This window comes from Homo sapiens, chromosome 17 (assembly GCF_000001405.40).
Source record: "Homo sapiens chromosome 17, GRCh38.p14 Primary Assembly".
NCBI lineage: Eukaryota > Metazoa > Chordata > Mammalia > Primates > Hominidae > Homo > Homo sapiens.
The window spans coordinates 37487677-37513524 of record NC_000017.11 but is presented as its reverse complement, the minus strand read 5'-3'; the positions used below and the strand labels follow the sequence as shown (position 1 = coordinate 37513524).

The following is a 25848-nucleotide window of genomic DNA, read 5'->3' as shown; positions in this document are numbered from 1 at the left end:
CTTGAAATTATTAGTAAAAATTCTAATATGTTAAGCATATAGATTTATTAAAAATAATGCTAATATAATCCTGGGCACATGGATTCCAAGAGAGATTTTGCAGCAGATTTCATTATAGTTACTTAACAGCTAAATAATAAGGGTGTATTTAACTTACTTACAGAGTCACTAAATAATGGAGGGGAAAGGAAAGAGTAGGGCTAATCCAGTAGAGACTGAAGCTGGTTATCAACCTTCCCTAAGCATCTGTCTGGTCCGCAGCCTGGGGCAAAGCTTGTCTCTAAAGGGTTAATGAGGCCCCAAAGTGATTTTTGCACTGAGCTCCTCCTGCACCTACCAAGGTGCCAAAGGCATGAGATTCAGAAGAGAGCAGAACCAGTTTATTAAACTGTTCAAATTGGTAAAAATGATTAAAAGCTAAAGATTTCCATAAACACTATTCCAAAATGTTAATTTTAAAAATGTGACTAGCAATGTATGCATTCCCTTTATGTCCCCTCCCTCCCTATCTCTTAAAATAAATTTGAACACCCAGTGTAAAAAACACTTGAGGGAGAACCAGAAGTCAGCCATTTGAGAAGAGAGTGGAGAGGGAGCAGACGGCGGGGAGCAGATGCCGGCCCCGCTCGGGCTGCTGACGCAGGCTTCAGTGGCACTAAATCCCCCAGTAAGGCATCAGGTGTCGGGACTCCTTCTCATAGACGTCGGGAACTATGCCATAAGGTGTCTGTACCATTTTAACTGTCGACTTCCCAAAGAGCTGGCGCTCGTAGTCTATCAGTTGCCTCCAGAAGCCTACGTTGGGCCTGATGACAGGTCGCCGGGCTTTCACCCAGTTGTACGCCTCCAGCAGGCACACGTTGTGGAATTTCATCAGGTACGCGATACACAGCGTGGCTGAGCGGCTCACCCCTGCAGCACAGTGCACCAAGGTGGCCCCGTGCTTCCTGCTCACACTGTGGATCTTGTCAGCCACGGTGTCAAAGTACAGTCCAATGGGGGCATGCGGCATGTCAGCCAGAGGCACTTTAACATACTCAAATTGGGGCCAGTTGAAATTAGGGATCTCAATGGTAGCATTAACAATGCAGGTGATGCCACGAGCCTGGAGGAGGTGCCGATTGGAGGCCACACTGCCTCTGCCCAGGAATAGAGAGGAGGTGATTTGAGCAATGCCTCCTATGTCTCCCTCGGAAATCATCCGAGGGGCCATGAGAGTCCTTGGTAGCGTGCTGTGACCTCTGGAGCTCATGAAGACGCCAGCAGTCACACTTGCATCGTTGGCGGCAAGACCAGAGTGTTTTATTTTCCTCCACCAAGGAATCCAAAATTAGAGTCTCCTTCCTGCAAAATACAGGTATGTGTCAGTACTTTAAATGCTACTGATTCATCACAGCCTTCTGTCACATTTGTCAAATGGGAAGATTAGAGGGTTTTTTTTTAAATAATACAGTACAATCTTTCAAGGATACAGACAAATCATTTTCTATCAATTAACAGTTGGGAAAAGTCACCTAAGACACAAACATGTGAAATCAATGTAAAATTCAGCTCTCTGGTGATTGTCCAAAAAAAAAAAAAAAAAAGTGGGGTGGGGGGGGGGTGGCTGGGCATGGTGGCTCATACATGTAATCCCAGCACTTTGGGAGGCTGAGGTGGGAGGATTGCTTAAGCCCAGGAGTTCAAGACCAGAAGACCAGCCTGGGCAACACAGTGAGACCCCATCTCTACAAAAAAACTTTTTATTTTTTATTTTTTATTTTTTTTTAATTAGCTGGGTGTGGTAGTGCATGCCTGTAGTCCCAGCTACTCAGGAGACTGAGGTGGGCAGATCACTTGAGCCTGGGAGGTCGAGGCTGCAGTGAGCTGTGATTGCACCACCACCACACTGCAACCTGGGCAACAGGGAGACCCAGCTTCTAAAAAAAAAAAAAAAAAAGGAAAGGCCAGGTGAGGTAGCTCATGCCTGTAATCCCAGTACTTTGGGAGGCTGAGGCGGGTGGATCACCTGAGGTCAGGAGTTCGAGACCAGCCTGGCCAACATTGGGAAACCCTGTCTCTACTAAAAATACAAAAATTAGCTGAGCATGGTGGCGAGCACCTGTAATCCCAGCTACTCGGGAGGCTGAGGCAAGAGACACGCTTGAACCTGGGAGGCGGAGGTTGCAACTAGCTGAGATCGTGCCACTATACTCCAGCCTGGGTGACAGACTCTGTCTCAAAACAAAAACAAAAACCCAAACCAAAAACTATTTCCTATCATTTCGTGACAATGTAAACACAGTAGCATTTCCATGGAAATAATCCCAGGCAATTTGAAGGCCATGGTCTTCAAAGTTCATTCCTGTAAGTTAAATGAGCATTTTACCTGACCTGACCTTGGGTGTGGCTAAATAACTTCACCTTAATTCTGAGCTCCACGATGAAGCCCACTGGCTTTTAACGTCTGAACGTCACTATCCTCTCATTATTCCAGTGTTTGCTATTAAATGTCAATATATACATTTACATATATATTGATATATATTATATATATATTGACATTTAATAAGAGCAGAAAAGGAAGTTCTCAGTTTCCTGAGATCTTAGATACATCCGTTCCTCTCACCAAAAAAAAAAATCACAATGCTTTATCACCTGTGCCCAGTGGCAAGTGCGCCTGCCCACACACACCCAGGGGATCGTCGGGAAGCCTGCAGTGATTTCAGTCAGACAAGAGCCTCCCCGGGTTCAACAGGCAGGCAGTGGTGGGGTACTCACTTCCTCAAGAGTCCAGTGTGCGCTGCCTGGGTCCGGATCCAGAAAGTCCTAAGTGAGCAGTGCTGGTGACAGTGGATACAAATCAAATCTGCGGGAAGACAAGGAGGCAAGGACACAGCCAATCAGGAAGTTCCAAAGAATTCCTCACCGACTTTCACTACGACCTCAGGTTTGACTGAAATAGAGCCAGGAAGCGGAAGGTGCACTGAACATTCGCAGGTGTGCATTTAAAGGCTGCACCAGTAAGAAACACCGGCCTAAATCTCAGCTTTTTGTTACTGACACATAACCCGCGGCGTGACAAATAAGAGTTTTGACAATAACACAGACAAATCTCATCCTCTTGAGAGGAGGAGACTCAGAGACCACAACCTATCCGCGAAATGTCCGGCACTGCTGCCTCCTCGGTGGGCTATGAGGACACAACACGGACTCGAGTCTCTTCCATGCACCGTTAGCCAGCCCTGCAGTGGGAAGGCCTGGGCGGCACCGCGGTGGGAGGACGGACAGGCCAGGTGCAGCAAGGGTGAGCCAAGCAGCCCTGTGCCTGAACACAAGGTGGAGGACAGTGTGCACCAGGAAGCTAAGGACAGGCATGGCCGGGACATGGCACGGAGGACGGCTTCATGAGGAGCAGGACCGCAGATGTGGCTGCAGCCAGGAACGCTAATTACAGGCGGTGCTGGTGTTCAGGATGGCAATTTGACATTTTCCTTCATTTTGTTTTCTTTTCCATGTTGGCCCTATTTTATTCATTTATGTTATGTAAGTACCATGAACATCATAAAAAATGTGTTCTTCTACCACCTGTTCCCCCACCTTTCCCAGGTAACTGTCAGACCTGTCGTGTTTTTTTTACAGCTCTGTTGAGGTGTTCTTGACATATAAACTGCTATACAACTTGATCAGGTACATTACCTGATGAGTTCTGACATATGTACACAATGGAGACACCAGTACATCATAATAATAAACACATCCATCATCCCCCTCAAAATTTCCTCATTTTTTTTAATAATCCAACCCTTTCTTGCTCTTTACCCCATTCCCAGGCAACCACTGATCTTTCTTATCACTATGGTTTGCACTCTAGACTTTTCTATCAATGGACTTTTATATATTTATAGCATATAAATATATATAGGCCAAGCGTGGTGGATCACGCCTGTAATCCCAACACTTTGGGAGGCCGAGGCGGGTGGATCACTTGAGGCCAGGAGTTCGAGACCAGCCTTGCCAATGTGGAGAAACCCAGGTCTCTACTAAAAATACCAAAATTATCCGGGCATGATGGCACACACCTGTAATCCCAGCTACTTGGGTGGCTGAGGCAGGAGAATCACTAGAACCCAGGAGGAGGTGGAGGTTGCAGTGGAGCCGAAATTGCACCACTGCACTCCAGCCTGGGCAACAGAGCAAGACTCTGTCTCAAAAACTAAACACACACACACACACACACACACACACTATATATATATATATATATATATATATATATATATATATATATATATATATATAGTGTGTATATAGTGTGTATATATAGTGTATATATACATATATAGTACACATATACATAGTACATATATATATAGAGTGTGTGTGTGTGTGTGTGTGTGTGTGTGTGTGTGTGTGTATATATATATATATATATATATATGGGTTTTTTTTTTTTTTGGTCTGGCTTCTTTCACTCTGCATAACTTAGACATTCACCCATGACGCTGGGTTATCAACAGCTCACTTCTTAAGTACTCTGCTGTGTAGATACACCACACTCTGTTTATCCATTCACCTACTGATGAACCTGGGTTGTCTCTAGTTTAAAGGTATTGTGAGTACAGCTGCTATGAGCATCCACGTACAGGTCTTTGTGCGTACATATGCCTTCCTCTCTCAGTTCAATACCCAGGAGTGAAGGGCTGGGTCCTATGACACGTATGTTTAACATTTTAAAATGGTTTTTGAAAAAAAAAGTTTATAAATATACATATATATTTATTTATACATACATATATATATATATATATTGAGATGGAGTCTGGCTCTGTCACCCAGGCTGGAGTGCAGTGGCGCAATCTCAGCTCACTGCAACCTCCACCTCCCAGGTTCAAGAGATTCTCCTGCCTCAGCCTCCTGAGTAGCTGGGATTACAGGCGTGCACCACCACACGTTGCTATTTTTTGTACTTTAAGTAGAGACGGAGTTTTGCCACATTGGCCAGGCTGGTCTCAAACTCCTGACCTCAAGTGATCCACCCACCTTGGCCTCCCAAGGTGCTGGGATTACAGGCATGAGCCACTGTGCCTGGCTCCATTTACAACTATTTCTATCATTATAATGCAGGGGCTCTCAAACCTGAGCATGCCTCAGAATCCCCCAGAGGGCTGTGCGCACAGACTGCTGGACCTTTCCCCAGCTTCTGATTCCGTCCCTCCAGAGTGGGGCTGGAAGAGTTGCCTTTCTGAGGTGAGGCTGCGGGTCGGGGGCACGTCTGAGAACTGCTGCAGAGGTGAGTGCTGTGGCTCTGTCTGCATTCCCCCTGGAAGACTGAGGCACCAGGTGTACTGGTGCTAACAGACCACAAGTCCCTCCTGGACACTGCCCTTCTCTGAAGGGAGCTGCCTCCTCACTCGAGGCTAGGCCTCGCTTTGGGAGCCCACATCCCATGACTGGTTAATGCTATGGGAGTACACAGAGCAGTCCACAGGTGAAATCACAGCATGAGGAGGAACAAGGACGCAGTCACATAAGGAAACTGCGTGTGTGTGCATTGGATGTAAACTATGAACAGGGCAGAAACTCTGAGAACATCCTTTCCTACAGCAGAGCAGGGTCTCCTGCCACTTCCAAGTCTTCCCTGGCAGAATCCTACTGGTTTAAAAAGCAAAGTCACTGTGGTAATAAACACAAAATTAGGCCTTCAAGCTGCTGGGGATGACGCTCCTCATTGTGGAAAATCTGGAAGATGCTAATCAAATTTCCAAGTAGGTTATCTAGTTGTTGTCTAATTCAGAGAGGCTTGGCCATAGACACGGTGGCTTACGCCTATAATCCCAGCACTTTGGGAGGCCGAGGCGGGCAGATCACCTGAGACCAGCCTGGGCAACATGGTGAAACCCCGTCTCTACTAAAAATACAAAAATTAGCCAGGTGCAGTGGTGCATGCCTATAATCCCAGCTAGTAGGGAGGCTGAGCCAAGAGAATCGCTTGAACCCGGGAGGAAGAGGCTGCAGTGAGCTGAGATCGCGCCATTGCACTCCAGCCTGGGTGGCAGAGCGATGCATCCTCCCAAATTACGCTGTCTGGGAAGCCACTTGCCTTCCTGAGGCAAAGGAGCCCAGGTTCCCTGTAGAAGCCGGGCTGATTCCGTTAACTCGCATTTGCTGAGTGGCGCTAGGGTACTTGGTGCTGCAGGGAAAACAGATTGTGAGCCCTCGGGGCAGAATCCAAGTGAGACAGACACATTGCTCCCTCCCTGCTGCTGCCAGTCCATCTCTTTGCCAACAAACCTGCTTAAAATGCCAAAGCTGGTCCAAAGTTTCAGGAAAACAACTTCCGCCAGAGGGCACGTAGAGGGCACAGATGCTATAGATGCTTCTCTGACAAACACTCCTGACCCCCTTGACAGATTGGAAAATACATGGTTCAGAAAGGGTGAGAGATTTCAACTTGAGAAGTGAAACTAGGAAAAGATGGAAGGTGTCCGGATTTCTAGCTCAAGTCCACACACTGCTTCTCTGCGGTGACTAAATCGTGGCTGTGTTCTCATCACCTGCCTCGCGGCGCTCCACACCACCAGCCAGCGTCTGCCACACACGCGGGGGGGTGTGGATCTGCCTAAGAAGGTGTTTCAGTGCTACTTACAGAAAGGCTAAGCCCAGATGGGCCGAGCTGCTCCAGTTTCCCCTAGTGCCAGAACAGGGAACTACTGCCACATCCTGGTACACCATTTGGTGCACAAAACATCCCCCTGGCTGCAGAGGGTGGACCTCAGCAAGGAGCAGCCCCAGAGTAGGCACTACAAGAAGCCCTAGAGTCAGCCAGTTCTCAGATCAGATCAGTAGAACTGGATGGTAAAAAATAAAAAACCCATGGGTATTATATCACAGGTGCATGAAAATCTACTCAGTAAATGTGTCCTGGGAGACAGGGAAAGGAGATAGGGTAGCAGAGTTTGACCCGTATTTGAGGGATCACAAATTGCATGGTGCTCTCTGAGTGAACATGCCATCCCACTGCAGGACAATGGTCTCTGGGACGATGATGACCAGGAAGAATGCTTAAGAATGACCACATCACTGTCTATGGTGTTCAACTTGGCCTTCCCAAGATGCTCTGGCAATGGCACGTGCTTCTTGGAGGAAAAAATATTTTCCTGGCTTGGGGGATGGGGGTAGGGTAGAGTGAAAGACAGAAAGGAAGAGCTGTCCTAAACCAACCCCAGGGTTTTTTGGGTTTTTTTGTTTTCTTTTTTGCAGGGGGACGGGGGCGGGGGGGAGATGGAGTCTCTCTCTGTCACCCAGACTAGAGTGCAATGGCGCTATCTCGGCTCACTGCAACCTCCGCCTCCTGGGTTCAAATGACCCTCCTGCCTCAGCCTCCCGAGTAGCTGGGATTACAGGTGCATGCCACCATGCCCAGCTAATTTTTTGTATTTTTTAGTAGAAACAGAGTTTTGCCATGTTGCTCAGACTGGTCTTGAACTCCTGACCTCAGGTGATCCACCTGCCTTAGCCTCCCAAAGTGCTGGGATTACAGGCTTGAACCACTGAGCCCAGTCTGGTTTGTTCTTAACATCTTCTCAGAGACGATGCTGGTCTTTTTGGATAATAAGCATCGAACACTAAGTACTGAACAAAATACAAGATTAGTGTCTTCCCAGCGGGCCTCTAATCTCAGTAATGCATACACTAATATTAATAACACCTGATTGCTCCCTGCTCCACAGAGCTCCTGGGATGCGGGCATCAGCCTTGTAGCCTTGTGGTCAGCACTGGCATCCATACCTGGAGCAGTGGTACCTGACACTCAGAATTGCTACATGGGGTCATGGCCTAATCAGAGACAGCATCCATCCTAATGCCACGGAGGTTACTTTTCTTTAAAAAAAAAAAAAAAAAAAAAAGATGACAACCACCAGAATCAGCAGTTAACTGAAATTCTATCTACGGCTTTTCTTTTCATGTTCAGTCAACAGCAGAAAATGGCCACAACAGTGCTTCAGATGACTGTGTAAAATGCTCTCACTAAAATACTTTCAGTTTTAGGAATTTCAGAGGGCCAGAGTATATACTGGAGAGGCCTACACTGTTACCTTTTTATATTCAAAAAGCTTTTGTAATCACATTTTCTCCTTCTAATAAAGTAAATGTCTGTCTAGTTCTTTTTGTTTTGAGACCGAGTCTCACTCTGTTGCCCAGGCTAGAGTACAGTGGCACAATCTTAGGTCACTATAGCCTTGATCTCCCAGGCTCAAGAGATCTTGGGATTACAGGGGTGAGCCACCAGGTCCGGCCCACATTTCTGATTTAGTAATGAAAATGATAATCCTAGCACTTTGGGAGGCCAAGGTGGTTGTATCACTTTAGCTCAGGAGTTGGTGACCAGCCTGGGCAACATGGTGAAACCCCATTTCTACCCCAAAACTCAAAAAACAGCTAAGCCAACATGGTGAAACCCTGTCTCTACTAAAAATACAAAAATCAGCCAGGCATAGTGGTGTGCACCTGGAATCCCAGCTACCTGGGAGGCTGAGGCACTAGAATCGCTTGAACCCGGGAGGCGGAGGCTGCAGTGAGCCAAGATCGTGCCATTGCACTCCAGCCTGGTTAACAGAGCAAGACTCTGTCGCAAAATATAAAAACAAAAAAGTAAAATTTCAGCCAGGCACAGTGGCTCACAACTGTAATCACAGCATTTTGGGAGGCTGCGGCAGGAGGACTCCTTAAACCCAAGAGTTTAAGACCAGCCGGGGCAACGTAATGAGACCCTGTCTCTGCAAAAAAAATTTTAAAAATTAGCCGGGCATGGTTTCATGCGCCTATAATCCCAGCTACTCAGGAGGCCGAGATGAGGAGGTCACTTGAGTCTGGGAAGTCGAGGCTGCAGTGAGCCATGATTGTAGCACTCCAGCCAGGGTGACCCTGTCTCATATATACATATTAAAGTAAAATGAAGTAAAAGATATTCACAAATTGTTCTGTCACCTGGAAAGCTTTAGCAATTGTGGTAAAACATCTCAACATCTTCTACTTACTTTGGAGGAGGGATCGTTTTTGCTTTTCTCACTGTATTAATTAACTGATATCATAGGATAATACATGAGGATATGTACACGATGAGGATATGATGAGGATAAATACACATAAGATACATAAAGCCAAAGACTGAGAGTCACACTCCGGTTCAGCCACAGATAGTCCCTCAGTGTGACATGCAGCCACAGAGCAGCTGCCTATGTAGGTGTGACCAGGCCAGCCATCTCGATGTCCGCAGATGGACCAGCGCCTGTTCACACTGCATTTGCTGAGGCTAAGAGAAGCCGATCATTGGTTTTTGTTTTTGTTTGAGATGGTGTCTTGCTCTGTCACTCAGGCTGGAGTGCAGTGATGAGATCTCGGCTCACCGCAACCTCCACCTCCCGGGTTCAAGTGATTCTCCTGCCTCAGCCTCCCGAGTAGCTGGGATTACAGGCATACACCACCACACCTGGCTAATTTTTGTATTTTTAGTAGAGACAGGGTTTCACCATGTTGGCCAGGCTGGTCTCAAACTCCTGACCTCAGGTGATCTGCCCACCTTGGCCTCTCAAAGTGCTGCTGGGATTACAGGCATGGGCCACCACGCCCAGCCCCATCACTGTAAGATACTAGCCAGCTGCTGGGATATGCCACAGCCCAAGAAGGAGAGGGGCAGTACACTAGATAAGCAGGAAAAACCATGCCAGCATCGTGACACAAATGCAAAGATTTGAAGAAGTTCAGTTCCACGTGATCAATTCACAGATTCTCCATGTTGGAAACAGAAAGAGTAGAGATAGCAAGAAGAGACTATCAATAACTATAAAAGGTGGAAGGTCTGCATTTATCTTGGTACCATGGGGTAATCTGTTCACATCTGGAATTGAATTCTTGTATTTGGTCCTCACCCACCTTGGTGCTTAAATTACCTACCACTCATTTACACAACAGTCTTTCACTGAGTTTATATAATGCGGTCAACACCCTGCTGAGTGTTGTTCCAACTGCTGCAGAATGTATTCACCAGAGATGGCCACAGCATCTCCCATCTCACATGACATTCTTACAATGTAACCTTGTTTTTTGTTTTGTTTTTGACACAGGGTCTCCCTCTGTAGCCCAGGCTGGAGTGCAGTGGTATGATTTTGGCTCACTGCCACTTCCGCCTCCCAGGTTCAAGTGATCCTCCCACCTCAGCCTCCTCACGTTGCTGGAACCACAGGTGTGCGCCACCATGGCTAGCTAATGTTTGTATTTTTTATAGAGACAGGGTTTCCCCATGTTGCCCACGCTGGTCTCAAACTCCTGGGCTCAAGCAATCTACCTACCTCGGCCTCCCAAAGTGCTGGGATTACAGGCATAAGCCACTGTGGCCAGACCCTACAGTGTAATCTTGACACTCCTCCCATCCAACAGTGGGGCTGATGTCCCCTCATTTGAACCCTGAGAAACCTTTGTGATGGCTTCAACCAAAAGAATACACTAAAGGCTGGGCGTGGAGCTCATGCTTGTAATCCCAGCACTTTGGGAGGCTGAGGCAGGACGACCGCTTCAGCTCAGGAGTTCAAGGTTGTAGGGGGCTACGATGGCGCCACTGCACTCCAACCTAGGCGACAGAACGACGCTGTCTTTAAAGCAACAAACAAACAAAAAAATACAGTAGAAATGATGCTTCCGAGGCCAGAGCACAAACATGTCGCACACTGCTACCTTGTTCTCTTAGGACTTGCCCTTGGAACCCAGCTGCCATGCTGTGAGGAAGCCCAAACTAGCTCAACAGAGCTACCACACGGAGAGGCCATGGGTGTTTAGCTAACATCCCAACTGAGTCCCAGCTGATACCCAAGCTCAACCACTAGATATGTAAGTAGAGATACTTTATTATGATTATAGCTCCCAGCCATCAAGTCACCCCCAGGCTTTGAATCTCCTACCTAAGGCCTCGGACATTGTGAAGCAAAAGCAAGTTGCCCCTACTAGTGAGGTCCAAATTCCTGACCTACAGGAATCTGTGAGTACAATACAAATAGTCATTTTAGGCCAGGGGCAGTGGCTCAGGCCTGTAATTCCAGCACTTTAGGAGGCCGAAGTGGAAGGACTGCTTGAGCCCAGGAGTTCAAGACCAACTGAAGCAATGTGAGAAGACTCTCTCTCTACAAAAAAAAAAAAAAAAATTGCTGGGCATGGTGATGTGCACCTGTGGTCCCAGCTACATGGCAGGCAGAGGCAGAAGGATTGCTTGAGTCCAGAAGGTCAAAGGGGCAGGGAGCTGTGATTGCACCACTGCACTCCAGCCTGGGGAACAGAGCAAGTCTCTGTCTTAAAAAAAAAACAGGGACTTGTAAACAAGTTTTGTTTGATAAGCAAACAAAACAAATAGTTATTTTACAACGAGTTTTAGAGCTGTGTTATGCAGCAGTAGTAACTAGAGCAGGGATATACAGGTAACATAAGGCATAACCCTGTGCTAGGATTTTATCATCTAACAGAAATGACACAAGATACACATATAAAAACAACTGAATAACAGTAAGAGATGGACTACCATTGAGTGAACGAAACAACTGGTACAAAAAAACTGGTGATCAAAGCAAAGTAAAAACAGCCCATAGTACTGAAAACCTGAGTTGTTTCTTGGGGAGTTGTTTTATAGATTGTATACCATGCTTTTTCTCCTCCCATTCTTGCCTTTCAAGAGCCCCCTTGGCCAGGCACGGTGGCTCATGCCTATAATCCCAGCACTTTGGAAGGCCGAGGCAGGCAGATTGCCTGAGGTCAGGAGTTCATGACCAGCCTGGCCAACATGGTAAAACCCTGTCTCTACTAAAAAATACGAAAATTAGCCAGGCGTGGTGGTGGGCGCCTGTAATCCCAGCTACTTGGGAGGCTGAGGCAGGAGAATCACTTGAACCCAGGAGGTGGAGGTTGCAGTGAGCCGAGATTGCTCCATTGCACTCCAGCCTGGGTGATGAGAAACTCCATCTAAAAAAAAAAGAGCCTCCTGTTTTAGACTTGGAATGGGGGCTATTCTCCATTGGAATGGAGAATACAGCCCTTTTCTACAGCCCTCACCATTTAGCAAGTGTGATCCAAGCCCCAGCAGCATCAATACCACCTGGAGGCTTGAAAGAAATGCAGAACGCAGGCTCTATTCCAAGACCTACCGAATCGGCTCCAGCAGGTTAACAAGATCCCAGGTGATCTGTATACACAGTTTTTGAAAAGTGCAAACTGAAGATTAAACTCATTAAAAACTAACTTAATACAATGTGAAAATCTGCCTCATTCTGCCCCATCTGACCTGTGGCAGCACGTTCGGGCATCTGTCCCACATAAGCCACGTAAGCACTGCTCAGCCTCTCCCGGATCAGTATCATTCTGCTGTTGCAGTTCCCAGAGAATCAGAGGTAAATGGAGGTTAAGAAGCTTTCCCAGACTCTACATTGAAAATTAGTAGCCCCACTGGGACCAGAACCGTCCTTCCATGAGTTGTCTATTTGTGGCTCAGTCATACAATTGGACCACAATGGATCCATCCATTCAAAGTCTACCAAAATGTACATTTCACTGGCTGGGGCGGGGAGGGGGCGGGAAACTGCAGCAAGAAAGGAGTTAAGGAACATAAGGTCAGGTCGATGTGATTGTGCTTTACGTCTACAGTCTAGGGAGTAATCTCTAAGAATCCTAAACTGTTGGTGGTACAAGATGGTCTTCGGGTGTGAAATATCCAATAAAAAGCTCGCAAAAGTCCACAGCTGTATTTAAACTTGTTTAATGATAACTGGAAACCAATTTGAGCAATGGCTTATATAAATAACATTTTAAAGTCTTCCAGGACTAAGTGGTAAAAATTAAATGTGAATCATATGTGCTTGGTTAAATGATAAACTGTTATTTATGTAACTCAGAACATCTAGAGGCAAAGTGCTTAAAAAAATCACTAATCAGCAATAAAACCCAGGTAGGTGTGAGTTTGCCTCAAAACTGTCAAAGTTACTACTGCCCTCTGAGAAGCAAGACCATGACATCTCAGAAAATGCAGGTCTTTTCATAAATAAGATTTCAGTCCTTACAAGCTCATTACTACTTTAAGGGAAGATAAAGAACAGAATTTATAAATTAGAATAAAGTTCACAGGACTAACAGCTCAGTAGTTAATAATCACCCTTTGATCATCTTTGATGTCTCATCAGACATATCAAAATCCTTAAAGCTCCAGCGGAGAGTTTCAACCTTCACCCTATGAGGACTTCCTTACCATATACCTGGCCCAATTCCACATCTTTTAGTGATTTTATACCAAATTAACTTCACTTATAATGTACTAATAAATTAATTTCCCATTTTTCTTTACAAATCAAAGGCACCTATAATTACCACGCTAGAGTTTCCGAGCAGGGTGAGGTAAACAGCTGAGTCTTCTGCTTCAGCGGGATGGAGGCAACTGGCGAAGGCCATGCCCGCTCCCATGCTGAGAGCAGTCCGACTGCACTGTGAGGGCAACTGGGTGTCTGTGCCATCCTACAGCAAAGGGAGGGATGAAGTTTTCAGCTGAACGAGAGGGGTCCCAAGGCAGAGGATCCTGAAGTTATTCCCTTGGCTTTAACTGAAAAAATACTGTCTGGAAACACAATATGACAATGTAATAGTTCCCTTTAGAAGACTACATTACTAATTAGTAAAACATTTCTAGGCTGGGCATGGTGGCTCACGCCTGTAATCCTAGCACTTTGGGAGGCCGAGGTGAGTGGATCACCTGAGGTCAGGAGTTTGAGACCAGCCCGGCCAACATGGTGAAACCCCGTCTCTACTAAAAATATAAAAATTAGCCAGGTGTGGTGGTGGGCACCTATAATCCCAGCTACTCGGGAGGCTGAGGCAGGAGAATCGCTTGAACCCGGGGGGATGGAGGTTGCAGTGAGCCGAGATCGCGCCAGTTCACTCCAGCCTGCGTGAAAGAGCGAAACTCTGTCTCAAAAAACAAAAAACAAACAAACAAACAAAAACACTTCTAGAGGGTCGGGTGTGGTGGCTCACACCTGTAATCCCAGTACTTTGGGAGGCCAAGGCAGGAGGATTGCTTGAGCCCAGGAGTTCGAGGCTGCAGTGAGCCAGGATCATGCCACTGTACTCCAGACTGAGCCAAACAGTGAGACCCCATCTCTTAAAATAAAAAAATTTAAAAAATAAAAAAAAGAAAGTTTGCCAACTGATATGGTTAGGCTCTGTGTCCCCACTCAAATCTCACCTTGAATTGTAATTCCCATAATCCCCACGTGTCAAGGGCAGGACCAGGTGGGGGCGGTTTCCCCCATGCTGTTCTGGTGATTTTGAGTGAGTTGCATGAGACCTGATGGTTTTATAAGCGTCTGGCATTTCCCCTGCCTGCACTGACTGTAAGTTTCCTGAGGCCTCCCCAGCAATGTGGAACAGCGAGTCAATTAAACCTCTTTCCTTTATAAATTACCCAGTCTCAGGCAGTTCTTCATAGCAGCGTGAGAATGGGCTACTACACCAATCCTTGGTTGAAATTAGTAAGTTATAAAACCATCACAGCATAGTAGACGCATTCTTCAAAGTGTGCTCCCAAGGAGTCCTACACGAGAATCACCTGGGCTGCCTGTTAGAATGCAGACTCCTAGACCCCACCCCAGACCTAATTAATCAGAATTTCTGGAAGTGAAGGCCTGGGAATTCACATTTCTAGTAAGTACCTTTTTAGAAGGAATCTAAAAATATTATTAAGAGTAATCTGATATTGTGGAAAAAATATCTCCTGTACTTTCTAGGAGGATAAATGGAATAAGAAACTCCGTAAGTGTAATTTTTGTAAAAAAAAAAAAAACTGATTACTTTCATATAATACAGTAGTCATTTGGATTTAAGATACAATCTAGGCCGGGTGCGGTGGCTCACGCCTGTAATCCCAGCACTTTGGGAGGCCGAGGCAGGTGGATCACGAGGTCAGGAGATCGAGACCATCCTGGCTAACACGGTGAAACCCCGTCTCTACTAAAAATACAAAAAATTAGCCAGGTGTGGTGGCGGGCACCTGTAGTCCCAGCTACTGGGGAGGCTGAGGCAGGAGAATGGCGTGAACCGGGGAGGCGGAGCTTGCAGTGAGCAGAGACTGCGCCACTGCACTCCAGCCTGGGCGACAGAGCGAGACTCTGTCTCAAAAAAAAAAAAAAAAAAAAAAAAAAAAAAGATACAATCTAGTACACAAAACAAGTTCTACTCCATTTCCATTTTGGATCACCTTTGGCTGAAAGTTTACACCAAGTAATTGAAGCTCTGTAAAACACTAAATACTTCTCCAATTTTTGTTAACAAGAAACATCATGTGACAAAAAGGAAAAAAAAGAAATATCATGTGAAATGTGAAATGCTCTAAGAGTTCCATCCCCTAAACATAGAACATATGTGACAGTACAAAATAAAGGCTAGTAAAGATTTCTGTCCTTTTTTTTTTTTTTGAGACAGGGTCTTGCTCTGTCACCCAGGCTGGAGTGCAGTGGTGCAATCTAGGCTCACTGCAGCCTCAACCTCTGGGACTCAAGCGATCCTCCCACCTCTGCCTCCTGAGTAGCTGGGGCTACAGGGGTGCGCCACCATGCCTGGCTAATTTTTTGTAGAGACAGGGTTTTGCCACGTTGCCCAGGCTGGCCTTGAATTCCCGGGCTCAAGTGATACTCTGGCTGGCCTCAGCTTCCCAAAGTGCTGGGATTGTAGGCATGGGCCACCATGCTTAGTCTTGTCTTGTCTTTTTTTTTTTTTTTGAGCAAGAATCCTGGAGCACAGTGGCACAATCATGGCTTACTGCAGCCTCGACCTCCTGAGCTCAAGCAGTCCTTCCACCTCAGCTTCCCAAGTAGCTGTAACGATAGCCATGAGCCACCACATCCGGTTAATTTGTGTTTTTTGTAGAGACAGGGTTTTGCCATGTTGCCCAGGCTGGACTCGAACTCCTGGGCTCAAGCCATCCACCTCCCTAGGCCTCCCAAAGTGCTGGGATTACAGGCATGAGCCACCACACCAGGCCTCTATGTCCTTTTGACATTCATCAAAAAAGCAGTTTGAAGGCAGGGCGCGGTAGCGCATGCCTGTAATCCCAGCACTCTGGGAGGCCAAGGCAGGTGGATCACTTGAGGTCAGGGGTTTGACCAGCCTGGCCAACACAGTGAAACCCCATCTCTATTAAAAATACAAAAATTAGCTGGGCATGGTGGCATGTGCCCGTAATCCCAGCTACTCAGGAGGCTGAGGTAAGAGAATCACTTGAACCTGGAGGGCGGAGGTTGCAGTGAGCTGAGATTGTGCCACTGAACTCCAGCCTGGGGAAGAGACTCTGTCTTTAAAAAAAAAAAATGCAGTTTGAAGTAAAATTGATATTTAAATAGAGTTGGAAGGAAATGTACCAAATTCATGGGAGTGGTTGTCTCAGTGGGAAGGGAAGAGAAATGGCCCAAGGAAGCTCTGACTTGATAATACTTAATTTCTAAGCATTATAAAAGATAAAGTATGAGCAATGATTTTTGAATGGTGAGTTATGATGCTGGTTAATTTGCTTTCAATAATTTTCTTTTCTTTTTTTTTTTTTTTTTTTGAGACAGAGTCTTACTCTGTTGCCCAGGCTGGAGTGCAGTGGCTCAATCTCTGCTCACTGCAACTGCCTCGTCCTGGGTTCAAGCAATTCTCCTGCCTCAGTCTCCCAAGTAGCTGAGATTACAGGTGCATGCCACCACACCCGGCTAATTTTTTGTTTGTTTGAGATGGAATCTCGCTCTTTCACTCAAGCTGGATTGCAGTGGTATGATCTTGGCTCACTTGAACCTCCGCCTCCCAGGTTCAAGCAATTCTCTGTCTCAGCCTCTGGAGTAGCTGGGATTACAGGGGCCCACGACCACTCCCGGCTAATTTTTGTATTTTCAGTAGAGACGGGGTTTCACTATGTTGGTCAGGCTGGTTTCGAACTCCGGACCTCATGATCCACCCGCCTCAGCCTCCCAAAGTGCTGGGATTACAGGCATGAGCTACCGTGCCCGGCCTAACACCCGGCTAATTTTTACATTTTTATAAGAGATGGGGTTTCACCATGTTGGTCAGGCTAGTCTCGATTGAACTTTTGACCTCAAGTGATCCACCTGCCTCAGCCTCCCAAAGTGCTGGGATTATAGGCGTGAGCCACTGTGCCCAGCATAATTTTCTATATGATTTCAATTTCTAAAAGTAAAAAATATTTTTAATAGAAGAAAATTAACAACACATAGTTGTCGGTCCAAGCCCCCTCTCCACTTCTGGCCTGAGCCTGCCAGTGCTCTTTATATAGGAGCCAGGATAACACCAAAGATTTATAATGATGACATGAAGTGTGTCTTCATTATAAATGTTTTGTGTTTTATAATGAAACACAAAGATTTAAAAGATTTAGTTAAATCTAAGATTTAGATTTTAGCTAAATTGGCAAAATTCTTCATTATAAATCTCCAAATTTGTATGTAATTTGTATGTTGACAGTACTTCCAGATTTTATTTTTACAAGTGCTTCCTTAAAACTTAAAGCAGGCTGGGCGCGGTGGCTCATGCCTGTAATCCCAGCACTTTGGGGGTCCGAGGCAGGTGGATCACGAGGTCATGAGATCGAGACCAGCCTGACCAACATGGTGAAACCCTGTCTCTACTAAAAATAGAAAAATTAGCTGGGCGTGGTGGCATGCGCCTGTAATCCCAGCTACTCGGGAGGCTGAGGCAGGAGAATTGCTTGAACCTGGGAAGCGGAGGTTGCAGTGAGCCGAGATCGCGCCACTGCACTCCAGCCTGGTGATGGAGCAAGACTCCGTCTCAAAAAAAAAACAAAAAAACAAAAAAAACAAAACTTAAAGCAAGTTCACCTACTGGTCACTTTCCCAGGCAGGGAAGGCTGGTGCTTTGAAGGCGCTCTCTGCCACATAATGTTTACTAGTCAACAGAAGCAGCATGCTCTAGTTAGGGAGTTTTCTCATATGTACCCACACACTCAAAGACATAGGAGTCAAAACAAACAAACAAACAAACAAAAAAACTTGCCCTAGGTCATTGATGCTGAAACTGTTCTGGGACAAAGACAGAAGTAAACCCAGCAGTTGCATATGAACTTCAAAAGAACCTTCTCGTCCACTGAGGTTTCAACATGGCATGGGGTGTGAAAAGCTGACCCAACCGGACCTCTGGTTGCTCTAGGTTGGTGCAAGAACAGAATGGGACGTGCCCAGGTGAGCTGGGTGGGCTGCACATGAAAGGGCATGGCTGTGATCTCAGCCCTAGGCCTCCTCCCTCGCCCAGGCTGAGGCTGCCCCTGCCCTGCAACAGGTGGAAAATGGAGCTCCTTTGTGAAAGCTGCCCGCTGGAAGGCCGAAGGGGTGACAAAGAACACGACAGGGCTCCTCCCCCATCACTCAGATCAACAGGTTCTCATACTAACGACTTCTTACTCCTCCTCCTTTGGGTGTCTTTTCCTGAAAACTTCTAATTTATCCGCATGTGGTTTCTAAAATTATCATTATTTTAGAGAATCTGAAAAAAAATCTTTACTATAATGAGCAAAAAAGTCTTTGTGACTTATGTAAATAAAGACTGAAAATAGAGTGATTTAGCTATTTTCCAAGATGCTTTAGAGAAGAAATAAAAAGGATCTACAAATCTCAGTCTTTGTGCTAGTGTTCTTCCATCATCCCTCCAGCTAAAAAGGATTCCCCTGAGGTATTTTGTAAACCTACAGAATTGCGTAACATTCTGCTCTAAGGGCAGAAACACAGCACATAATACTAGGCACATGGTAAGTACTCAATGAACACCTGAATTTAACGGCTGCCCTCAGGTGAACTGCCCACCTCTCCCCACACCCTCCCTCCTGCTCCTTCTCTTTCTCACATTCTCTCACTCTCTCTCACACACACACTTCAAATCCAGCTGGCAAAACTAAACACGGGCAATCAAAGTGAGCCTGGTAACTGTCTGTTCACAAAGCAGGAATTCAAGCTGGATGTGGCACATGCTGCAGTCCCAGCTTTTAGGAGGCTGAGGTGGGAGGATCCCTTGAGCCCAGCAGTTCAAGGCCAGCCTGAGCCACACTGCTAGACTCCATCTCTTACAAAGAAAATGAACAAAAACGACAAAAACTCTGCTCTAAGCTACTTCTACTTTCTCAGGCAAAGGAAAATTTGGAGAAAAATACATTTAAAAGATTTAAAGGCTGGGTGCGGTGGCTCACGCCTGTAATCCCAGCATTTTGGGAGGCCGAGGCGGGCGGATCACGAGGTCAGGAGATTAAGACCATTCTGACTAACATGGTGAAACCCCGTCTCTACTAAAAATACAAAAAATTAGCCGGGCATGGTGACGGGCACCTGTGGTCCCAGCTACTAGGGAGGCTGAGGCAGGAGAATGGCATGAACCTGGGAGGCGGAGCTTGCAGTGAGCCGAGATCGCGCCACTGCACTCCAGCCTGGGCGACAGAGTGAGACTCTGTCTCAAAAAAAAAAAAAAAAAGTTTAAAAGAGTCATTGATTCCTGTAGCACAGAGTCTGTGGTTACTTTGGAATTGCCAAGAAGTATGAGTTAGGGTCTGTGCACAGTGCCTCTTAAGGAGTCTCATCCTCAGAGGGTACTTTAACAAGGATAGGCCTGGGTTCCTGCACACTACACTGTCCTACACATTTAGGGCTGGGCACAATGGAAGCATTCACCAGAGGCAGGATTCATTCAAGAGCCTTAAAAAACATCTAGGTACTAGCCACTTATTTTTAGTACTTCATTTTGCATATTTAAAATTTCCTGTAACTACTCATCTGTTCCAAAAAAAAAAAAAAAAGATTGATGAAAGGATTCCATTAGATATTTGTCAACCAAACACAGTGGGAAAACCATTTCTGGTATTTGGGTGGTTAGTCCAAACCATATAACTAAATAAAAATACGCTAGCACATGACAGGCCAGGGATCGGACTACCCAGGGACCTTTATTCATTCATTCAGAAAATATTCAAGCATAATTGTGGTTAAACAGCAAATACAGTGACTTACAAACTCAAGGCTGACACCACTGAAGGAATGTAAATTGGTACAACCACTTTGGAAACCAGGTATCAACTAGTAAAGCTGAAGGTATGCACACCTGACTCAGGGCTGTTCATAATTGCCCCAGACCAGAAACAACCCAGATGTCCATCAACAGTGGAAAGGTAATTTGTGGTATGTTCATAAGACAAAAATGTACTAACTGGGCTGGGTGTGGTGGCTCACACCTGTAATCCCAGCACTTTGGGAGGCCCAGGCAGGAGGATCCCTTGAGCCCAGGAGTTCAAGACCAGCCTGGGCAATATAGTGAGACCTTGTCTCTAAAAAAATTAAAACACAAAAACTACAGGCATAGGCAACGATATGGATAAATCTTTTAAAATAGCATGCTGCAGAAATTTAAAAAATTATATATGTGCGTGTGTATATACATACATACACACACACATACATACACATACACACACACACACACGATGCCGGCCAGAAGGAAGGATTCACAAGAGTATCTACTTTTAGTTTGCACTGAGGTTAAAAACAAGCAAAATAAAACTATGTCAATTAGGGATTTATATTTAGGGGATAAAAACTATAGAAAAGAAGGAAATGATTTCCATAAAAGTCAGGGTAGTTTCTGGCTAGGACCTCTGGGGGAGGGAGAGAGTGTGGAGTCAGATTCTTGACCTGCAAGACAGTTACACTTATGTTTTCGTTAAAATAATCCATCAAATTATCCATTTGTTTTAGACACTTTTTTACATAATTCACAATTCAATAAATCTAATGTTGATTTCTGGGAATTCAGAACCATGACAACAATTCTGGCCAACTCTCTCTGAATGTCACTATTTGCCTGTCAGCTTCATAAGGTCAGAGACCGACCTTACTTGCCTTCTTCCTCTGTATTCAGGCACAGCACCTTTAGCATGGTAAAAGTCCTCGGTAAATGTATAATATATAAATCCACAGAATCCTGACATGAATTTTGTTTTAACCCATCCATTTCCTGAAATTACCGGTTTGAAGGGTGCCCACATTAACACTTTCCTTTGTCTTCACCCAGGTGAAGTGAAGCTTTCATAAATAATAAAGCCATCTTAAATGTTAGCTCTGTAAGTTTATACCCAGGCCTTGGTTGCTTTAGCAACTCTCCCTGTCTTCCACTCCCTTTGACGTTTCTTTATAAGCAAAGACAAGACAATAGGCTAGTAGTCCTAGATTTTTTTTTTAAATAGGAAAGTTTTATTCAGCACCTAAGAGTAAAACCTAGGATCGTAATGATTCTACTACTTTGAAGTTGTTTAAAAGGGGTAATTTGCCCCTTGCCCTGGGAAGTAACACCGTCTATCAGGATTATTAAAACTTTACCAACAGTTGTACTTAAACACATTACTTGTTCTTGACAGAAGCCAAATCTTTATAAACAGGACAAGTCAACTTTAAAATAATTAATTTCGGTTAAAAAACCACTTTGTGCAAACGGACATTTATAAAAATGCTTAGAAAAGTCTAAAAAGATATACACAAACCGATCAAGATGCACTCGGCAGTTACTTTTGAGGAAGAGGTTCAAAAGAAAGCTTTAACCTTATTAGTAAAGTTTAAATCTCACAGAGAATGGTTAATGTATTTCTTGTGATTTTGGGAAAAGCATTTTTAATCCATTTTGCCTTAAAATCCCAATTGCAAAGGAACCCATCAAACATAGCCCTCCCTAAAGCCCACTTTTTAAAAATGTTAAAGTATTAAAGGATTTCCTGGACTTACATACTTGGCTAGTCTTTTATGATATGAATATACATTTATGCCATTCTATTAATTATTATTACAGAATTCATACCTGCAGTCAACCGATATGAAAGCTTTCAGATGAGAACTCAGGACACACACGTTCAACAGTGACATTAAAACGACTTGGAATGAAGGAAACTGTCTCCAGTTTTATGGTGGAAAGCCAAAAATACCAAGCAACTACCTCTCCTCCCCCAAGCGTCAGAAGATGAGTCAGAGCTGGAGGCAGGAATAGGGCCCATGTGTCAAGCCTCCTGTGCAGGGCTCCTTCCTACCTCCTCGTGGCAACCCTCGTCCCTCCCTCAGGTCAGGGTCTCTGCCCCGGCCTGTCCCTGATGTGAAGTGTCCCTGATGTGAATTCTCAGGCGTCTCTGGCGAAGAAGAGGCGTTCACTGTGGGGGTGCCTCCTTCCCTGCATTTCTCAAGGGAACCAAGACTGGGGGCCTTTATGAGTCCACAACAACTAACAATAACCAAATCGCAGCTCAAGGGAGTGGAGCTTCCAGACACACGCACAACTCTGCAAAGAATACAGCACCTTTGTTCCCCTGGTTTTAGAGAGCAGGAAGGAAATGAGCGGAGAGAAACTGTGACTTGTCCAGTGTTACTTAACTTTGTGGCAGAGCTGAGTCTCAGGCATGGAGCTGCCGGCTGGCCTCGGCCTCTCTGACTCTTAAGTGATCTGTAGAATGTCAGGGAGGACGGTCCAACATTCCATCATACTTCTGAGTGGCCTTAGGGACTAGGAATTCCAGGAGACTCTGGGTTAAATCTCTTGGTCCCTATTCTTTTAAGGTTACTAAGGATACCCGGAGTTTGCTCTTCGCCTCCGTTTTTACATCTGTAAAACGGGATGGTAACGCTCTCCACCCCCCTCTCTTATAAAACGATAATGAACAGCTAACGAGTTAACACACACTAAATGTCCGGAGGTCCTGCTGGATAGAAAGTACAAGGTGGTTTTAAAAAAAAAAAATCTCTGCATGGTAAAACTGCATTTGTAAGTCGCTCCTCCTTCCCTAGCCTCTGGGATGCCCAGTTACCATAACACTGGCTGGTACCACTGGCAACATCCACCTAAATAAAATACAGTTATACAATCCACTTAAGGCGGCCACAGCACGCACCCCCTCTTTACAAACAACAACTCAACTTCGCTCCGGAGCAAGGGTACTTAGGAGAAATAAAAAGACAGATGTTAGCACCGCGCACACCCATCTACCACCGCAGAGAAAGACTCAAGTTGGACACTTGGCATCGCTGAAAGTCAAGTTGCTTCTATCCATGCACCAGAAACCTCGGGGAGATGCAAAAAGCGGCGGCGCGCTCCAGAGCGGGTGGATGCCAGCGAGAGTAGGCGGCCTCAGCGGGGTCGGAAGGCGACGGAGGAGGCGCGGCCGAGGCTGCTGGAGCCCCGGGGCACAGGGACAGGGTCGCGGGGGCGGCGCGGCGCGGCGGGGGAGCGGCAGGGGGCGCACGCTCAGGGCCGGCGAGGGTGCGCTGCGGAAGGTCTCGGGCCTCTCCTCCGCGGGCCGCCCCGAAGAGTCAAGGACCGCCAGGGAGCAGGTGGGGGCGCCGGCACAAAGTTTCCAGAGGCGGGGTCGCGCGGGCCTCTGGGTCCCCCTGCGCCCAGGGACCCGAAGCGCGAAGTCCCGCCCTCCCGCCCCACCCCAACACCTTCCCCACAACCCCCACCCCCGGGCCTGCGGGTCCCCTACCGGCGCGGCGCGGCGCGGAGCGGGTTGCGGTTAGGGCTCCGTCCTCCTGCGCGGCCACCGGCTTCTGCGGGCTGGGCGCCGCGCGCGCCGCCTCCTCCTCCCTCCGCCCGCGCCCGGGGCGGGCCGCGCGCACGCTCCCTGCGCCTGGCCGCCCTCTCCCGAGGTGGGGGGACGCGACGCGGGGCGGGGGGACGCGCGGGGCGGCAGGCGGCGCGCGTGCGCGCTGGGCTTCTGCGCCGTGCGGTGTGGTCCGGGCGCGCCCTAGCTCCCGAGGCAGCAGCCTCCCCTAGAGCGCTCCTCCGTGCAGGTCCCCTGGTCTCTTACCCTGCCTCACACACCGGCGACCCCTCGCTTCCCCAGTCAGCGTCTGCGTATGAGCCGGGCTCGAGGCGGGCTGCGGGGGCGCTCTGCTGGGGTGCTTTCGGGATTGGAGAGGATTAAAGGCGAGAAAGCAAATCCGATACAGGTGTGAAGCCGCCGCGGGTGGCTCGGGACGGCCTCGACCCCACCCCACCGCCTCCCTAGCCCGGAGAGCCCGGGGGTTGGGACCCAAGAGCGAAGGGAAAATCAGTAGCGCGGCAGTTCCTGGCTGACGCTTGCTGGAACAGGTACGGGCAGCCGTGGCGCCCGAGACCCGGAGGTGAACATGCAACCTCCGTGCGCATCTCCACCTGCTCTCGCCACGCCAAGGTGCCGTCCGAGTCTCGGAGCCCACACCCACCTCCCGAGTCCCCGAGGCAGGGCAGGGGTTCTCCGGAGCGCAGGCGGGACACGGGCATTTGAGGGCTCATTTGCTGTGTGACTCTGAGGGTCTTTTAAAATTCAGGTCTGCCCATCTGTAACATAAGTCGGTGCGAAACGGACGTTTTCCAGCACAGCCCCGCCTCCCCTCCGCCTCTGGCAGGTGAAGGGAGACACGTGGGAGGCAAAGCGACTTCCTCAAGGCTCTGCCGTGAGTCAAGGCACCTAAGAGTCCTGACTCCATGCCCAGTCCTTGACTCACCAGCCCCTGCTCCTCGCCGTTGCAAATGGTTGGCCTCAGAATTGCTGAGCAGTCAAAACGAGTAGGCATGGGTTTGCGGGGAGGGGTGGAGGGGAGAAGTAAAACCCGCGTTTGGGGTTTACATCTCCCGATGTCCTCAACCAAAAGCTTTGAAGCTTTTTCATGTTCTTCCCGATCTCCACTGCCCAACCGGCTTCAGAGTCATCCGGTGCGTGCTGGACTATCTAAAAGTTAGTGATAATTTTAATCATAATCCTGGGAAACGAAAAAGGCCCAGACTAGAGAGATTTATTTTCGTCTTCGTAAAAAGAGAATCAAAGCTTTAAAATTAGGCAAAATTAATCTAAGAGAAAACAAAGCAGCATACTTTGCTAGATTCAGGAAACCACTGAGTTCAAATCGTGCCTGGGAAAAGCATCTTCCTAAAACTAAATTGTGACGTCAGTTCACTTAGTGACTTACTTGTTTACATGCCAATACGAAAAGAGCAAATCTCTAACAGAAAGGATTGTGTGTTTTCATTTCTGCTCAGCACCCCCTAGTCCTTGAAGCTTCAGTCAATTCAATGACTCAGCAACACAAATAGATGCATCCCTCTTCACATTCCAGCTTGTTACACTGTAGGCAGGTTTCCAAAACAAGCTCTAGTGACAAGGAGCTAGGCATTTTCATGGATTATGGGAACTAAACCTACCATGAAGAGTCAGTGAAGAGGGAGGTGGGCTAAAATAGAGTTTGTGTTGTGTGCGATGTGCGTGTCAAGATTTAGAGATTTAGAGATTAAGTAGAAAGAAGTGCTGGAGTCAGACCATTTAATGACTGTACAGACATGCCCTGGGGTAGGGAGGCGGTTTATGCCTTTACAGAATGTGGAAGTGCGGGCTTATACATGCCTGTACCAAAAATGCAATTTGAAGTTATTCTCTTCTGGACCAGCACTGTCCAGTAGAACTTTGTGTGATGATGGACATGTTCTGTATCTCCACTCTCCAGTACAGTAGCCACTAGCCTCATGTTGCTACTGAACACGAAATATGGCTAGTGTAACTAAGGAAGTGAATTTAAAATTTTATTTTAGTAAATTTAGATAGCCACATGTGGCTAGTGGCTACCTTACTGGACAGCACATTTCTGGACTATAAGTATGTGAGTTTTTTTATAGGTGTCACTTTTTCTTCTTTTTTTTTTAAGATAGGCTTCAGGATGGAGTGCAGTGGTGCAATCATGGCTCACTGAAGCCTCCACTTCCCGGGCTCAGGTGGTCCTCCCACTTCAGCTT

The 25848-nt window shown here is 46.8% G+C and overlaps 1 protein-coding gene across 4 annotated transcripts, besides 6 other annotated features; it reads right to left on the bottom strand.

The window, feature by feature from the left end:
* Positions 1-26: 26 nt before the first annotated feature.
* Positions 27-24959, bottom strand: DUSP14 (dual specificity phosphatase 14). Of its 4 annotated transcripts, none has more exons than XM_011524234.2 (3): positions 24570-24959; positions 2761-2848; positions 27-1344 (listed from the first exon to the last, which is right to left on the bottom strand). In XM_011524234.2, the coding sequence occupies exon 3, from the start codon at positions 1250-1252 to the stop codon at positions 656-658; it is 597 nt and encodes a 198-aa protein (XP_011522536.1). In that variant the 5' UTR covers positions 1253-1344; positions 2761-2848; positions 24570-24959; the 3' UTR covers positions 27-655. The 4 variants fall into 4 exon arrangements, with proteins under 4 accessions (XP_011522536.1, XP_047291173.1, NP_008957.1 ...); XM_047435217.1 differs by lacking the exon at positions 24570-24959 and adding an exon at positions 23891-24355; NM_007026.4 differs by lacking the exon at positions 24570-24959 and adding an exon at positions 23567-23634.
* Positions 355-868: an enhancer, noted in NCBI's record as "H3K27ac-H3K4me1 hESC enhancer chr17:35872759-35873272 (GRCh37/hg19 assembly coordinates)". NCBI's record gives its function as "activates a minimal SCP1, AML or CMV promoter by ChIP-STARR-seq in naive H9 embryonic stem cells {active_cell/tissue: H9 hESC(naive)}" and the evidence as "EXISTENCE:reporter gene assay evidence [ECO:0000049][PMID:30033119]".
* Positions 355-1017: a biological region, named in NCBI's record as "H3K27ac-H3K4me1 hESC enhancer GRCh37_chr17:35872759-35873272".
* Positions 627-1017: a silencer, noted in NCBI's record as "fragment chr17:35872610-35873000 (GRCh37/hg19 assembly coordinates)". NCBI's record gives its function as "represses an EF-1alpha promoter that drives an FKBP-Casp9 reporter gene in an ReSE screen in HepG2 liver carcinoma cells {active_cell/tissue: HepG2}" and the evidence as "EXISTENCE:reporter gene assay evidence [ECO:0000049][PMID:32094911]".
* Positions 5512-6012: an enhancer, noted in NCBI's record as "H3K27ac hESC enhancer chr17:35867619-35868119 (GRCh37/hg19 assembly coordinates)". NCBI's record gives its function as "activates a minimal SCP1, AML or CMV promoter by ChIP-STARR-seq in primed H9 embryonic stem cells {active_cell/tissue: H9 hESC(primed)}" and the evidence as "EXISTENCE:reporter gene assay evidence [ECO:0000049][PMID:30033119]".
* Positions 6013-6513: an enhancer, noted in NCBI's record as "H3K27ac hESC enhancer chr17:35867118-35867618 (GRCh37/hg19 assembly coordinates)". NCBI's record gives its function as "activates a minimal SCP1, AML or CMV promoter by ChIP-STARR-seq in primed H9 embryonic stem cells {active_cell/tissue: H9 hESC(primed)}" and the evidence as "EXISTENCE:reporter gene assay evidence [ECO:0000049][PMID:30033119]".
* Positions 21749-22534: an enhancer, noted in NCBI's record as "H3K27ac hESC enhancer chr17:35851097-35851882 (GRCh37/hg19 assembly coordinates)". NCBI's record gives its function as "activates a minimal SCP1, AML or CMV promoter by ChIP-STARR-seq in naive H9 embryonic stem cells {active_cell/tissue: H9 hESC(naive)}" and the evidence as "EXISTENCE:reporter gene assay evidence [ECO:0000049][PMID:30033119]".
* Positions 24960-25848: the final 889 nt, after the last annotated feature.